This window comes from Homo sapiens, chromosome 7 (genome assembly GCF_000001405.40).
Source record: "Homo sapiens chromosome 7, GRCh38.p14 Primary Assembly".
Lineage (NCBI taxonomy): Eukaryota > Metazoa > Chordata > Mammalia > Primates > Hominidae > Homo > Homo sapiens.
Genome location: NC_000007.14, coordinates 21,682,851 through 21,697,383, shown reverse-complemented (window position 1 = coordinate 21,697,383; position 14,533 = coordinate 21,682,851). Strand labels below are relative to the sequence as shown.

Below are 14,533 nucleotides of genomic sequence, written 5' to 3'. Positions count from 1 at the left end.
AGCCACTGCCAGCACACCACTGCCTAGGACCAACTGGGATAGACTTTTAAAGGGGACATTTAGAAAAACATAGCTTCAAATCCCCTTTCTTTTGGAGAGGGACTTCCAAAAAGTCCCTCTCCAAAGACAATTGCTATTCACAGCAACGTTTGAAAAAATTCCACTCAACTGAAGTCAAGTGCAAAGAAGGAAGAGTAAATAAATAAGCTCATTATTTTAGACTTCTTAAAGTATACATTCCAATAATACCTACCTGTTTTTGTAAATATAATTGCAGTCTACTTCATGCATACCTGATTTTCATCCTAAACATCTAACCTTAAAGTATCTTTGGATCTAGGTTATTCTATATCTCTTCTATCTAAACTAACCCCATATTTTTTCACACAGTTATTACTCTTCACATGACACCAGAAGATGAAGAGTAAATGGAGAGAGCAAAGACTAGCATATCTATGTATTTTATATCTACATTAATATAGACAACTAATTTTTACTGAGCACTTCATACCATATTGGGTGCTAAAATCTTTTTATGCACTCTCTCACTTAATCCCCACAACACTATGAGGTACCCACTCCTCTTATCTTCATTTTACAGAGAGGCAGACTGATGTTCCCAGAAGTTCAAGCACATGCTGTAGGCCTCATGGTTGGTGAGTGGTGGAATCAGAATACTCCAAAGGCACAAGCATATGGCCTCCACACATGAGTAATGCTTTCGTCACCCATTAAACAAAAGTTATTAAAAAAATTCACAAGACAATTTCAAATTTCAAGACCCAAATGAAAGAAAGTATGAGATAAATTGGGTCACAAATAGGATACTGGAAATGCACACAGTTTTCAAACAAAGCTATTCTGTAGTTATTACATTGATTTCTAGAATGGTTATTCTCTATCTAGAATTTTTCAAGAAAGTTAGACATTATAAAATTATTATGCTAGAGAAAGCTGTTATGAGGAAAGAAAAACATTCAATACAAGATGTTAGCACAATTGATTAACTATTAGGGAAAATAATTGTTTAAACACTCATTTCATATTACCAACTAAAATAAGTTCTCATCAGATTAAATTTAATAAGAACAGTAATACTATAAAAATTAGAAGAAAATACAAATGAAATATGGTTAAATACCCAGATGGATGGACAAGCAAACTTTAAGTTGGAAAGAACGGAAAGAGATCACACTAAAAACTGTAGACATTCTTAGATTATATGTGAAGTGGAATATTATTTTAAAAGCATACTGAATAGTATTGAGCACACATATTGAGCACCCTAAATAAAACCCCAAAATAAAACTGATAATCCTCTAGCTTATCATCAAGGAAATAGGAAGAGAGAGAAGATACAAGTTACCCATGTATCAGGTATGGAATTCAAGACATCACTACAGATAATAAGGGAATATTGGCCACATGAATGTCTTCTTTTGAGAAGTGTCTGTTCATATCCTTTGCCCACTTTTTGATGGGTTTTTTTTTCCTTCTAAATTTAAGTTCCTTGTAGATTCTGGATATTAGACCTTTGTCAGATGGATAGATTGCAAAAATTTTCTCCCATTCTGTAGGTTGCTTGTTCACTCTGATGACAGTTTCTTTTGCTGTGTAGACACATTTTAGTTTAATTAGATCCCATTTGTCAATTTTGGCTTTTGTTGCAATTGCTTTGGTGTTTTAGTCATGAAGTCTTTGTCCATGCCTATGTCCTGAGTGGTATTGCCTAGGTTTTCTTCTAGGGCTTTTATGGTTTTAGGTTTTATGTTTAAGTCTTTAAGCCATCTTGAGTTAATTTTTGTGTAAGGTGTAAGGAAGGAGTCCAGCTTTTTTTCTGCATATGGCTAGCCAGTTTTACCAGCACCATTTATTAAATACGGAATCCTTTCTCCACTGCTTGTTTTTGTCAGGTTTGTCAAAGATCAGATGGTTGTAGATGTGTGGCATTATTTCTGAGGCCTCCGTTCTGTTCCATTGGTCTATACATCTGTTGTGGTACCAGTACCATGCTGTTTTGGATACTGCAGCCTTGTAGCATAGTTTGAGGTCAGGTAGTGTGATGCCTCCAGCTTTATTCTTTTTGCTTAGAATTGTCTTGGCTATATGGGCTCTTTATTGGGTCCATGTGAAATTTAAAGTAGTATTTTCTACTTCTGTGAAGAAAGTCAATGGTAGCTTGATGGGAATAGCATTGAATCTTTGAATTACTTTGAACAGTATGGCCATTTTCATGATACTGATTTTTCCCATCCATGAGCATGGAATGCTTTTCTATTTGTTTGTGTCCTCTCTTATTTCCTTGAGCAGTGGTTTGTAGTTCTCCTTGAAGAGGTCCTTCACATCCCTTATAAGTTGTATTCCTAGGTATTTTATTCTCTTTGTAGCAATTGTGAATGGGAGTTCAAACTTATGAAAAAAAGTTCATCATCACTGGTCATTAGAGAAATGGAAATCAAAACCACAATGAGATGTCATCTCATGCCAGTTAAAATGGCACTCATTAAAAAGTCTGGAAACAACAGATGCTGGCGAGAACGTGGAGAAATAGGAATGCTTTTACACTGTTGGTGGGAGTGTAAAGTGGTTCAACCATTGTGGAAGACAGTGTGGCAATTCCTCAAGGATCTAGAACCAGAAATACCATTTGACCCAGCAATCCCATTACTGGGCATATATCCAAGGGATTATAAATCATTCTACTATAAAGACGTATACACATGTATGTTTAATGCAGCACTATTTACAATAGCAAAGACTTGGAACCAACCCAAATGTTCATCAATGATAGACTGGAAAAAGAAAATGTGGCACATACACACCATGGAATACTACGCAGCCATAAAAAGGAATGAGTTCATGTCCTTTACAGGGACATGGATGAAGCTGGAAACCATCATTCTCAGCAAACTAACACAAGAACAGATAACTAAACACCACATGTTCTCACTCATAAGTGGCAGTTGAGCAATGAGAACACATGGACGCAGGGAGGGGAACATCACACACCAGGGCCTGTCAGGTGGTGGGGGGCAAGAGGAGGGAGATCATTAGGACAAATACCTAATGCATGCAGGGCTTAAAACCTAGATGATGGGTTGATGGGTGCAGCAAACGACCATTGCACATGTATACCTATGTAACAAACCTGCACATTCTGCACATGTATCCCAGAACTTAAAGTATAATAAAAATAAAACTTAAAAAATAATAATAAGGGAATATTATGAATGATATGGTTTGGCTCTGTGTCCCAACCCAAATCTCATGTTGAATTGTAGTTCAATGTTGGGGGAGGGACCTGGTGGAAGGTGACTGGATCATGGGAGCAGATTTTCCCCATTCTTCATGAATGGTGGTTTTCATGATGGTGAGTGAGTTCTCATGAGATACGATGGGTTGAAAGTGCGTGGCACTTCCCCACCTCGCGCGTGTTCTCTCTCCTGGTCCACCTTGTAAGACATGCTTGCTTCCCCTTAGCCTTCTGCCATCAGTGTAAGTTTCCTGAGGCCTCCTAGCCATGCTTCCTGTACAGCCTCTGGAACTTTGAGTCAATTAAACCTCTTTTCTTCATAAATTACCCATTCACAGGTAGTTACTTATAGCAGTGTGAGAATGGACTAATACAATGAACCAGTGTGTGCCAATGGATTCAACTAGATAACACCAATAAGTTCCTTAAAAGATTTAAATTACCAAAATCAAATCAATAAAAAAATTAAAAATCAGAAAATCCCTGTATCTATTAAAGGAATTAAATTCATTATTAAAAAGATTCCAATAAAAATCTCTAGGTCCAAATGGCCTAACTGATTAATTCAATCAAATACTTCAGGAGTAAATAATAGCAATTCTACACAAACTCTTAAGCAGATAGAGAAGACACTTGTCAACTTACTTCATGATGTCAGCACTACTCTGATGCCAAAGCCAGACAAAAATTTTACAAGGACAGTGTAGAACAATAACCCTCATGGCATAGATTTTTAAAAATTCCTTAACAAAAGAGTGTCATATTGAATCCAGCAGTACCTATTAATAAAATACCTCCTGACCAAGCGGAGCTTATCCCTGGAATGCAACACCGAAGGACTGTTTAGCATTTGAAAATCAATCAATATAGTTCAGCACATTAACAGAATAAAGGAGAAAACCCATACGAAAACTATAGAACAACAAAGCTTATAAAAGAAAACATAGTTAAAAATTTTTGCAAGCTTGGGCTAAGCAAATTTTCTTGAATAGGATATTAAAAACAAAAACAAATTGATAAATTATATTTCATCACATTTAAAACTTCTATCTTTGATGGACAAAAGAAAATGAAAAGGCAAGCCACAAATTGAGAGAAAAAATATTTGCAATGTATGTATCTAACAAAGGAACTGTATGCAGAATACGGCTTTTCACAAAAGATGGTATAGCAATAGACAATAAGTATGTAAAAGAGGCTCAACATCATTAGCCATCATGGAGATGCAAACTAAACCTAGGAGGACACAGTACTACCTATCTATTAGATTGGCTAAAAATAAAAAAGGCTGACAGTATCAATTTTTGACAAGAATGTGAGCAACTAGAATTCTCATGCATTGATGGTGAGGATGTAAACTTGTAAAATCACTTTGGAAACCAGACTGGCAGATTCTTATAAGCAAAGCACACAATTGCCATGTAGACTAGCAATTCCAGCCATAGATATCTGTCCCAAAGAAATAAAAATATATGTTCATGTAAACATCGCACGTGAATGTTCATAGCCGCTTTATTCATAATAGCCCCAACCTGGAAACAGCCCAAGTGTCCATCAACTAGTGAATGGATCAACAAATTGCAGTAGGTCTATATAATAGAATACTAATCAGTGAGAAAGAGGGGCAAACTACTGATACGCTCAACAACTTGGATAAATCTCAAAACCACAATGCTCAAAGAAGCCAGACACAAAAACGTACATATTGTCTGGTTTCATTTACATGAACTCTAGGAATGACAAATTTAATCTATAATCACAGAAAGTACATTATTGGTATGGGAGGCTCACTTCAAAGAGGCAGAAGAGAATTTCTGGGGGTGTGGAAATATTCTGTACTTTGATTGTGGTTATGCTTTCACCAACTGTACACTTGATTGTATTAAATTATACCTGAATGTTTTTACTATCACCTGGTATGATGATAAACCTTACAATTTTATCTCTAAACCTGATCTCTCTTTCTCTAATAAAACATAAACCATATTTCAATTCTGCAAAATTACAATACAGAGTTTTCTGGAAAACTGAACCAAAAAAATGATACCTGAATGAAGTTGACTTAAATTATAAGTGAATCGTAACGGATACTAGGTATAGCAACACATGTTCTCTTACAGACTCCTGCTAAGTGCATACATTGGCAGAGTACTTTTGAAAAGCAGGTCATCAATAGGGATTTTAATCATTCACTTAAGTAATTCTACATTTAGAAATCTATTCTGAAATAAGAGTAATTTTTCATGTGAATAGAAGTTTACAGCCTGCTACTTCATTATAATAAAAAAAAGGAAAAGACAAACCCTACATAACAGACAACAGTGAATGGTTAAGAAATTTATGAACAAGGCATGAGAGGGACTATTTTAGAGCTACATAAAATGATATTTCTAAAGGTTGTTTAATAATATGATAAAATATGTCAAAATATTAAATGAAGAGAACTAAAGAAAAATCATGCCTACTGTAATATCTTAATCCCACAAAATATAAATTATAAAAGGAGGCTAGAAAACATAACAATCATTATTTCTGGATGGTGATGTAACTTTTTCTTTATTCTTTTCTATATTTTCCAAACAGCTCATAATTTATGAAAGATTCTGGACCAGGGCCCTCAGGGAGGGGACCCTGCGGCTAGAGTGGGCTAGGCCCTGGCTTTGCCCGTCAGATTTGAACGAATGTGTGTCCCTTGAGCCCAAGGAGAGCGGCAGGAGGGGTGGGACCAGGCTGGGAGGACAGAGCCAGCAGCTGCCATGCCCTCCTGCTCCCCCCACCCCAGCCCTAGCCCTTTAGCCTTTCACCCTGTGCTCTGGAAAGGCTACCAAATACTGGCCAAGGTCAGGAGGAGCAAAAATGAGCCAGCACCAGCGCCTTGGCTTTGTGTTAGCATTTCCTCCTGAAGTGTTCTGTTGGCAATAAAATGCACTTTGACTGTTAAAAAAAAAAAAAGAAAAAAAAAATTATGAAAGATTATGTTTATAATAAAAATATGCATTACAAAATAGCTAACAGTAAATATGCAAATATACCACGTAACTTTTAAATACTGATTTTGAGTCCTGGTTTTATAATTCAAAAGGGTTAATTTATCATGGTGAAAGTTCTGTCTATAAAAGGAGCCCAAGGAAATCATATAGGATTTTCCTTAGGAATTTTCAAGTAAAAGCAAACCACTTAACAGTGCAAACCAACAACATTAGGTGGCATGAGTGCACCAGATGCTAAGCCACAAAGCATAACACTTGCCTGAAAAGAGCTTTGAGATTTTCCGGTAATTCGGTTCGACCAGCATAACCCGGGTTCATAGTAATAAATATTCCAACTGATGGCTTCAGTGTGATAGCTTCCCCAAGAAATACAAATCTACCATAAAAAGAATGTTGATGAAATTAAATGTGTTCATTGAATATGAATGCACATTGACAAATGCAAACCACTGCAAAATGCAAATTATTAGGAAGCTGTTTATTCTGTGTAATTTTCTTTAAAATTCATAAGCCCATACATATTTTGAATATGTTTTGAAGCATATTTATTAAAAATACCCTCCCTTTTCCTGGAGGAATTATAAAAATGGGAAGTATTCTTTTTTATTTTAGCATAGCCTTAGTATCCTAGAATATAAAAATAAAGACTTGACTATTTTAACATTTAATGGAAGGAGGTGATGGCATTTTTACCTTCAACATGGGCTGCAATTCCTTGAATGGGATGCTGCATAGACAGAGAATGCCCATACTAAGAGGAGAAAGGGACGTCCTGCTCAGTCTTAAGTTTTGTCTATTTCTTCAACTTCTCTTCCTCTTTCCCTCCATACCTTTCATTGACTCAAGAAAAATCTATTAAATATCACTGAGAGGTACAATAGCTCTGGAGCCAGACTGTGAGTATTCAGATACCAGGCATATCCCTTTTAGGCAAGTTAATTATCCTATGTTCCAATTCCCTCATCTAGTAAAAATAATAATCATATTACCAACCTTATTGGATTCTGCAAGGATTTAAAAGGGATTATAAATATAAATGGGTAAAAGTATAATGCCTAGAACATGGAAAATACTCAAGAGATGTTAGCTATGACTAATGCTATTACTGTCACTTAAAGGCACTGGAGAAACAGTGAAAGATTTGCGTTGGAGAAATAGTGAAAGATTTTCAGAAAGATCTGTGAGGACCCAAGTGGGTTGCTGCTGGCCAGGGCAATGAATGGTAATGTGCTATGGGAGCCATATTGAGAGACAGGTAGAGGGAAACTTTCAAATGAGGGTAAACGAGACAAAATATAAGGCTGATCTCTTGCATTGCTGAGAGGGGAGGGCTGAAGCAGTTAAGGAGCTGGGTCTGCATCATGAAAGAGAAAACACAGAAAGAAACCACAGTGTTTAGGACTAAGGGTGCTTTAGACACTAGGTAATTAGGAGCAGGTGGATTTTGTATAGTCAAGATAAAAATGGAGAAAACTTCATTTCCCAGAATGTCAGGCTAGGGAAGGCAGACAGGCTGGCAGGGCCGCTCACACGCAGAGCGGTGGCTCTTGCCACAGAATAACTGCCTCTTCTCCCATTGTACACAGGAGGGACAGCCACAGTCAAAGGTGTGGACCTCCAGAGGGTAGAGCTGGCAAGGCACTAGAAGGCTTTGTAATTGAGGCATGGTCCCATCTCTTAAATCTTCATGTGTACAGAGAATTTAATAAGCTCATGAAGTCAAGAAGGAGCAGAGCTGTCTGCATATGGGCTAAAATAAGATGAAGAGAGCAGACCTACAGACATTCAGACAAGAGGAGACTACCAAGGAGTATTCTCGGCAATTTTCAGAAATCAGTACATGGATCAGTTACATAAATCTCCATAAGAAAGGATGGCCTCAAATGACATCTGGGTTACATCAAATAAAAAGATTTTGACTAAAAGCTAGATAAAATATAGCTGGAGATCTAAGAACAAATAACTGAGCCTCTCTATCATGGCCTTAGAGATGGGACAGGTCAGGAAACAGACACCTGAACACAAAAAACTGGGACCCAAGGCCCACGTGGCAGAAGGACTGAGAGATTTTCTAGAATGTAGAAATATCCAGATGTATCTCCTGATAACCTGGAAACTTCTACAACAGGTAAACAGTCCAAGAGGCTAGATAATCCTTGGGACATTGAAAATGTTCCTATGGACAAGCTAGCTGAGAAAAATATTCTAAAAACTAAGGGGGCACAGGTGGGCCAGATAAATAAGATTGCCCTGTTGATAAAAATGTTACAAAGAGAACCAGAATTGTGCTGCATACTATACTAATTTATTTCTCAAATTAAGCCATCAAACGTAAGTGCCAGCTGTGTTTTGCTTTTTGGAATGTGGCATTGTGTTGAGAAGCATTTAGATTTCGAACATAATTTGAAAGGTCTTGGCCCAAGTTACTGCAAGAACATGAAGGTATAACCTATTGGGATGAGACAACTAGCAAAGAAGGAGTTGGTGGAAGGACTAAGATTTTTATTTTGGATATATTAAATATGAGAAGCCTGGGAGACCTCCAGTAGAGCCTTGGGATGCCCCAGGCAGTTGTTTAGGTCAGTCCAGAGATGAGGAGAGAGGAAGCCTGGGCATCTGGTAGTCAGCAGCATAGAGAGAGTTTTTTTAAAGCCCTGGGACTAGTTGAAATCAACAAGGGGAGAAAATATAGAGAAAGTAAATCCAAAGACTGGGGCCTGTGATGCCTAACGTGAGTTGGGTTGGCCAGGAAATAATAACAATAAAACATAATAGGAAACACGGATATAGTGCTTACTATGTGGTAGGCATTTTTCCAGGTACTTTGCATTTAATCATCACAGTAGTCTATAAGGCAGGTACTCTTCTTTCCCCCATTTTATAGATGAGAAGAAACCAGCAATGAAGCGCTGTGAGGGGAGAGAGATGTAGGAGAGGTGTTGTCCTCAACCCACGTGAAGAAAGTATATCATGCAGTGGAGAATAACCAACTGCATCAGATGCTGCCAGAGGTCAAGAAAGATGAGGACTGAGAACTGATCAATGGAATGAGCATCTTAGAAGTCTTTTGGGTTTTTTGGAGAAAGGGTCTTGCTCTGTCTCCTAGGCTGGAGCACGGTGGCACGAACACATCTCACTGCAGCCTTGACCTCCTGGGCTCAAGCAATCCTCTTGCCTCAGCCTCAAAAATAACTGGGACTACAGGCACATGCCACCATGCCTGGCTAATTTTTAAAATTTATTTATTTTGTAGACACCAGGTCTCGCTATATTGCCCAGTCTGGTGTTGAACTTCTGGGCTCAAACAATCCTCTCGCCTCAAACTCCCAAAGTGCCAGGATCACAAGCATGAGTCACTGTGTCTGGCCAATCCTAGAAGTTGTTTGTTTTTTAAGTGATTAAAGTAATGTAATATACATGTGTTGTACTCAACACTTAGAAACCACTAATAAAAATGGGAGACTATTCAAAATAATTCCCCCAAATCGACCAGAATCTTCCTTTATCTATTTCATGAGACAGGGAGAGGTAGCAATAGACAGTGAAGGGGAGGTTACCTGCATTATTCCATGTTTTTCTATTTGTAACAAGAGATAGCCTGCATGCCACTCACCTCTTCTTCCTGTTTCTGATGGCATCATGAATCATTTTCACTTGTACTGCCACCACTGACAGAACTTCCACAGAGATTCGGTTGAACTCATCAAAGCAGCCCCAAGCTCCTGTCTGCACCAATCCCTTATAGATATTGCCTATGGACTAAATGATAAAGTGAGGCACTCAGAATTTAACAGAAGGGGTTTTTACGCTATTATATTGAATAATTCCCAATCAGGAATAATGTTAGAGAATAAAGTTTTACACATTATTCTCTTACTAACTTACTTTGTAGTCCATTTGCTCTGAACAGTTGAATACATAGACCATCATGCCAAGGGCACGTCCTAGGTCTTTGGTGGTCTCTGTTTTCCCGGTACCAGCTGGGCCAGCAGGAGCCCCACTCATGGTTAGATGAAGTGATTGAGTTAAGGTAATATAACACCTTTAAGCAATAGAAAACACAAACATCACAGTCTAATATGAGATTTTCATAAAACATCAGAGGCAATACATTAGAAAAAAAGTTTAAGAAGCTCTAGAATGTGATAGTAGCATAAAATACTGATATACTTCTGATTTGTTCATGGCAATAATGAATCAGAATATTTTCTATCACATTTATTTTTAGGCTAGCTGTCTAAAAATACTAGAAAAGAATGTATTTCTTTGTTTATTGATCTCATTTCCTAAGAGCTGTGTATTTGAATACAAATAACACTTGATTTGTAACACTATTAAATTTCTGATATTTCTAGGTAAAGATATTAATATGGCAGACAACATCCAAACTATTGTTTATAAAGGAAAAGTAGAAGAGAAGTCTTAGATGATGAATGAATTAAACATTGGCTGTATTAAACTGCTACTTAATACATTAAGAGATATGTAATTTCTATAAATACATAGTATACAAATAACATATACCTATTTCAATATACAAAGAAAATATAAAAGGGCAATTTACTGTATTTAAATATATTTTACAAATTCCTTTGGAATGTGTTGCTACATCCACTTAGATTACCATAATACTTATTTTTGCAGCAAAGACTCAGAAGTTCTTAGAAAATCATGAAACAAGAATACCTAATAAAAGAAGACAAAACAAATAGCAAGGACATCAAATGGCTGTATTCTTTATTTGGAGTTTCCTCAGATTTATAAATTGTTTTTCTCTTAGTACAGACAGCAGGTCTAGTGAATGATATACACATGGAGGTCAGGAGACGAGAGACTAATGTCCCCTTTGCCAATGATCAGATGCTAATCTTAAATAAGTCTTTTGACATCAACACACCTCAGTTTTCTCCTCTATTAAATGAGGTTAATTGTAGGAATATATTCAGAAGGCCAAAGGTAAATGCCTTAAAAAATTGAAAGTACTATGCAAATAGAAGCGATTAATTATGAAAACAGACAGTGTTTCTGCATTTTATATCCATTGCATGTTTAAGTGTATCTTACAATGAATGAGTGAAAAGGCTCCCAGACTAGGAATCAGAGTACTTTTTGTAGTAGAGATTTTCGCCTTGTAATTTTCTCCAGTGGTTCCAAGTTTTGGGTAGGCATATGGCTGCCAGTGTTTAGAGACTACATTTCCTGCCTTCCTTTCAGTCAGGAGTTGCCAAGTGACCAAACTCCAACCAATGGTGTATGTGCAGAAATGACGAGTGCCATTCCTACAACACTTCCTTGGAGATATTTGACCTGGACTCTCTTTTTTCCCCTTTCACTGGCTAAAACACATGTGGAAACCATGTTTAGCATGTCAGCCACCTGCCAGCCTGTACCTCTGGACAGTGAGATACCCACTTCTGTGTTATTTCAGCCATTGTCTTTTGTTTGGAATATCTAACAGCAGCTTAACCGGCATCCTTCTAGTCAATACACAGTTGACTTAAGTCTCTGAACCCATCCACATATGGAAGAAGGAGACACTATCTCCCCTGCCTACCTCACAAAGGGATGGTCAGCATCAAATGAAATATAATGGAAGAATTTGAAGGGCATCATTTTGTTAATGTAAACAATTAGTAAATAATTCAAAGAATGAAATGGAAATGGAAACATTTTATCCAACACAATTCACACTATCAAAATGAACTTTCATCTTCCTTTCAGCTCCCAAAAAACCCACATGGTGATTCTTCTAATTTCAAAGTTAATAAACTATCAGGCCTCACATAATGATAAACTTTAAAATGCCTCTTCCCTTTTTCTCCTATACCCTGGGCCTCCCTTTCCTCCTTCTCTATTGACAATGGCATGCGTACGGTAGACTCTTCACATTTGCAGTTTTGACTATTCTCAAGTGACTTCATCAAGCTACAATTTTAATCCCTCTCACTGAAAGCAATGCATAAATTAACTAATGAGGACAGTGAATGCTGACTTTTAATCAGAGACAAGTTAGAAGAACTGAATTAGACATAATTATAGAAACTATACAATACACAAATGTCGCGATTATGAGCAGGTTACTATGTGCAAGAACAATCACAAATGTAGTGGGAGAATCCTACCAGCCTCTCAGGACTACCATAGCAAACCAGCTTTATAGACTTATATTTGAAATTGTCTACACTTCGGTGATAGTGGATAATTGGGCATGCAGCTATGACCTTGAGGTGTGATTTCTGCTTCATGAATGCCAAAGATTAAATGTGCTGTCTCCCATCAAACAGGTCAGCAGAGATTGGAATACTAACAAAGAAATTCCCGTCAATGTGACATATTCTTATCTCCGCAATATTCTGACTAGGTATGTATTTACTTGGAGTCAAGTGGAAACGAACTATTAATAATAGTAACCTCCTGCCCCCTTGAAATACTTGAGCCACACTGGCTTTCTTTCTATCCCTGAAACTGGCCAAGTGTCTTCCCACCTTGGAAACTTTGTCCTTGCTCTTGCCTGTAACTTTCTGCCCCAGGATCTCTGCATAACTGATTCCTCATCATTTAGGTCCCAGCTCAAGCTCTCCACAATAGTAGGCTCTCCCTTCAAGACAATTTTAAACATATTGATCTTTTTTTATTGTTGTCATAGCATATATCACAGCCTAAAATAATTAATTTACTTTTTTATTGTTTCTCTTTACCCCCACTTACTAGAAAGTAATCTCTGTGACAGCAGGAACCCTGGCTGTTCAACAGTGGAATAGTACTTAGCAGAGTACTTCAGAAGTATTTGTTGAATCATTTAATGAATGCTATGTTCTTCACCTTCCCTTCCTTTCACTGTATGCAGTTCCTCAAATATGAATTTGAACACAGGCAATTCCTAGTTATTGTACACTTTCAGTAAAGGAATCCTGTGGGGGTGGAGGGAGGTGGTGATAGATCCTGATACCAGAAAGTTAGTTGTAGATAACTAGGCAGAATCAACAATGCTTCCTTGAGCCATATTAATCCACTCATGATTTCATCATTTGTGCATTGTATAGCTTCTGTAACTCTGTTTCTCTAATTCAATTCTCTTCACCACTTTCACATAGTTCATTGTTCATCGTTTCCTCTCATTCCTTCCTTTTCATTCTCACACTAGGGGACTTTTTTGGGTTGTTTTTCCTATCTGGACGGAAACTTTGAATTGTTACCTGTCAGTTAGAGGAGTGATCACTAGTCGAGGGCTGTTTCCTAAGTATTCATAGAAGTACTGGAACTGGGCATCACAAATATTAACAAAGCAGTGTTTCTGGGTATCCTCCCATCGGTGACGAAGTTGAGACAGCCATGTAAAAGCTTGGGGACTGACAACCTAAAGGCATTGCATAATCATCATACGCAGGACACTGGTAGTTTGGGGCAACAAGTTATTAATCTAATCAACTCTACTGGTTCACATTTCTAAAATTCTCATAAATAGGAAATCTCTTGCACGCTATTGCAAATTATAATAGCATATACATGGTTAAATACTTAATAAGAAATATGCGTGTAATAAGTCTTCATTTTAAACTGGCTTTTATGTAAAACAATATGAATTTCTTCAAGCAATGCTTTTTCCTCTTTTATGAATCACCCCAGGGGATTAGATAAATCTTGTAACTTTATACTCATATCACTGAAGTCAGATGGAAAAATATACTGTCTATATTTAAATGACACATAATCCATAATTTCTGCATCGCAGAGGCATAAATAAACTACATTTTCAACCAAGTTCATTCTAAAACCAATCTGCTTTTAGTACAGAGATTTTCTGCTTTGTTTTTAATCACATCAAATAACAGTATTTTTCATTGCTGTTCTTTCCCATCTACTCAATCCTAACCATTCATCTTCCAGTTAAAAATCCCTGTCTCTTTCAAGATAAATGTGACCCTTGGATTTCTTGAGAATCAGTTGAACTTACCAAAATTACTGTATACTAATTTGTCTGATGACTACACAGGTTTCAGCATTGCATATTCACGTATATTAGATGGTTGGGTATTAGACAAAGTATTTTTTAGTACAAAATAAAGGACATATTTTAAATCAGAATTTATCCTACTTGAAATCATCAGACTTATAAAATAGAATAAAATATATAAGAAGATACAAGGCCATATTAAAGGAGTAGTTAGATATAAACAGTTCATTATCAAAGTCAGAACACATGGTAAGCGATGTTTTGCAAGGAAAAGTTTTGGACTAGCAATTAAAGAATATTGCTCACTAGTGGTCCTGAAGCTGGATCAAGGAATGT

At 37.0% G+C, this 14,533-nt stretch overlaps 1 protein-coding gene across 1 annotated transcript in view; it reads right to left on the bottom strand.

Moving 5' to 3' along the window:
- The window catches only part of DNAH11 (dynein axonemal heavy chain 11), a 358,801-nt gene that overhangs the window by 204,456 nt on the left and 139,812 nt on the right, over nucleotides 1-14,533 (bottom strand). Inside the window, exons 32-35 of the mRNA NM_001277115.2 lie at nucleotides 13,440-13,600; nucleotides 10,129-10,285; nucleotides 9,857-10,002; nucleotides 6,503-6,619 (exon numbers count right to left, since the gene is read on the bottom strand). Of these exons, the coding sequence (NP_001264044.1) occupies nucleotides 6,503-6,619; nucleotides 9,857-10,002; nucleotides 10,129-10,285; nucleotides 13,440-13,600 (581 nt within the window). The remainder of the gene's footprint in view (nucleotides 1-6,502; nucleotides 6,620-9,856; nucleotides 10,003-10,128; nucleotides 10,286-13,439; nucleotides 13,601-14,533) is intronic.